Genomic DNA, 1,511 nt, shown 5'->3' on the forward strand with positions numbered 1-1,511 from the left:
GTAGGGGGAAAGCCTGGCCCTGCATGGGTGGCCCCTTGGGAAACTCAGCCCCTCTTCCCAGGGCTCTGGTTCATCTCCTGGGAAACACTCTCCGCTCAGGCTGGGGCAGGCTGTCAGGATGCCCTGAGGCTGGCTGCATGTCCCTTCTCCCCATTTCAGCAGCACCCCTCTCCATACTACCCACCCCCACTCTGCCGCAGCACCAGTATATCAAGTATGACTGCCTGGACAAACACCCTGCTCCACTAGACTTGTGCCCTGCTAGTGTGGATGGGACTTGACTTCTGGTTGGATAGGTGCTGGATAGAGAGGTGTTGAGCTACCGGAAGTCAATGGGGGTTCCGTGAGCCCTCCGTGCGACAGCGGGCCTGGGGCTTGGGGTGCCAGTGGTCAGGCAGCTGCTGGAAATTGAAGTTGCCCTATAGCAAGCCTCCTTGGGACTCCCACTCTACTAGGTCATGGACCAGGGATGATGGGGGTGAGCCATCTTCTCCCAGGCTGTGGAGAACTCAGGGGCAGATAGGAGCCCAGGTGACCCGACAGTCCTACCGCCAGCCCTGTGCCTGATGACGGGGTGCAGCAGAGCTGGGGTCCCACCCGCCTGCCGCTGAGCGGGGGCCAGGACACTTCCTCTGTCTCCTATACCAAGGGCCTTCCCCAGTGATGCTTTCTGTTCATTCAGTGGTGTGTGTTGAGCACCTGCTGCATGCAGGTCCTGGGCTAGGAGTCAGAGGGTCGCCTGTGAGCACCTACTGTGTGTGAGTCCTTACCTGAGTGTCAGGAGGGTCGCCTGTGAGCACCTACTGTGTGTTGGTCCTTGCCTGGGTGTCAGAGGGGCGTCTGTGAACACCTACTGTGTGTGACTCCTTGCCTGGGTGTCAGGGGGCGCCTGTGAGCACCTACTGTGTGTGACTCCTTGCCTGGGTGTCAGAGGGGCGTCTGTGAGCACCTACTGTGTGTGACTCCTTGCCTGGGTGTCAGGAGGGTCGCCTGTGAGCACCTACTCTGTGTGACTCCTTGCCTGGGTGTCAGAGGGGCGTCTGTGAGCACCTACTGTGTGTGACTCCTTGCCTGGGTGTCAGGGGGCGTCTGTGAGCACCTACTGTGTGTGACTCCTTGCCTGGGTGTCAGGGGGCGTCTGTGAGCTCCTACTGTGTGTGAGTCCTTGCCTGGGAGTCAGAGGGTCGCCTGTGAGCACCTACTGTTTGTGACTCCTTGCCTGGGTGTCAGGGGGCGCCTGTGAGCACCTACTGTGTGTGACTCCTTGCCTGGGTGTCAGGGGGCGTCTGTGAGCACCTACTGTGTGTGAGTCCTTGCCTGGGTGTCAGAGGGGCGTCTGTGAGCACCTACTGTGTGTAAGTCCTTGCCTGGGTGTCAGGGGGCGTCTGTGAGCACCTACTGTGTGTTAGTCCTTGCCTGGGTGTCAGGGGGCGTCTGTGAGCTCCTACTGTGTGTGAGTCCTTGCCTGGGAGTCAGAGGGTCGCCTGTGAGCACCTACTGTGTGTGACTCC

The 1,511-nt window shown here is 60.2% G+C and overlaps 1 annotated feature.

Moving 5' to 3' along the window:
* Nucleotides 430-479: an enhancer, noted in NCBI's record as "active region_29285". NCBI's record gives its function as "activates an Ori minimal core promoter by ATAC-STARR-seq in GM12878 lymphoblastoid cells {active_cell/tissue: GM12878}" and the evidence as "EXISTENCE:reporter gene assay evidence [ECO:0000049][PMID:35858748]".

This window comes from Homo sapiens, chromosome 9, assembly GCF_000001405.40.
Source record: "Homo sapiens chromosome 9, GRCh38.p14 Primary Assembly".
NCBI classification, from domain to species: domain Eukaryota; kingdom Metazoa; phylum Chordata; class Mammalia; order Primates; family Hominidae; genus Homo; species Homo sapiens.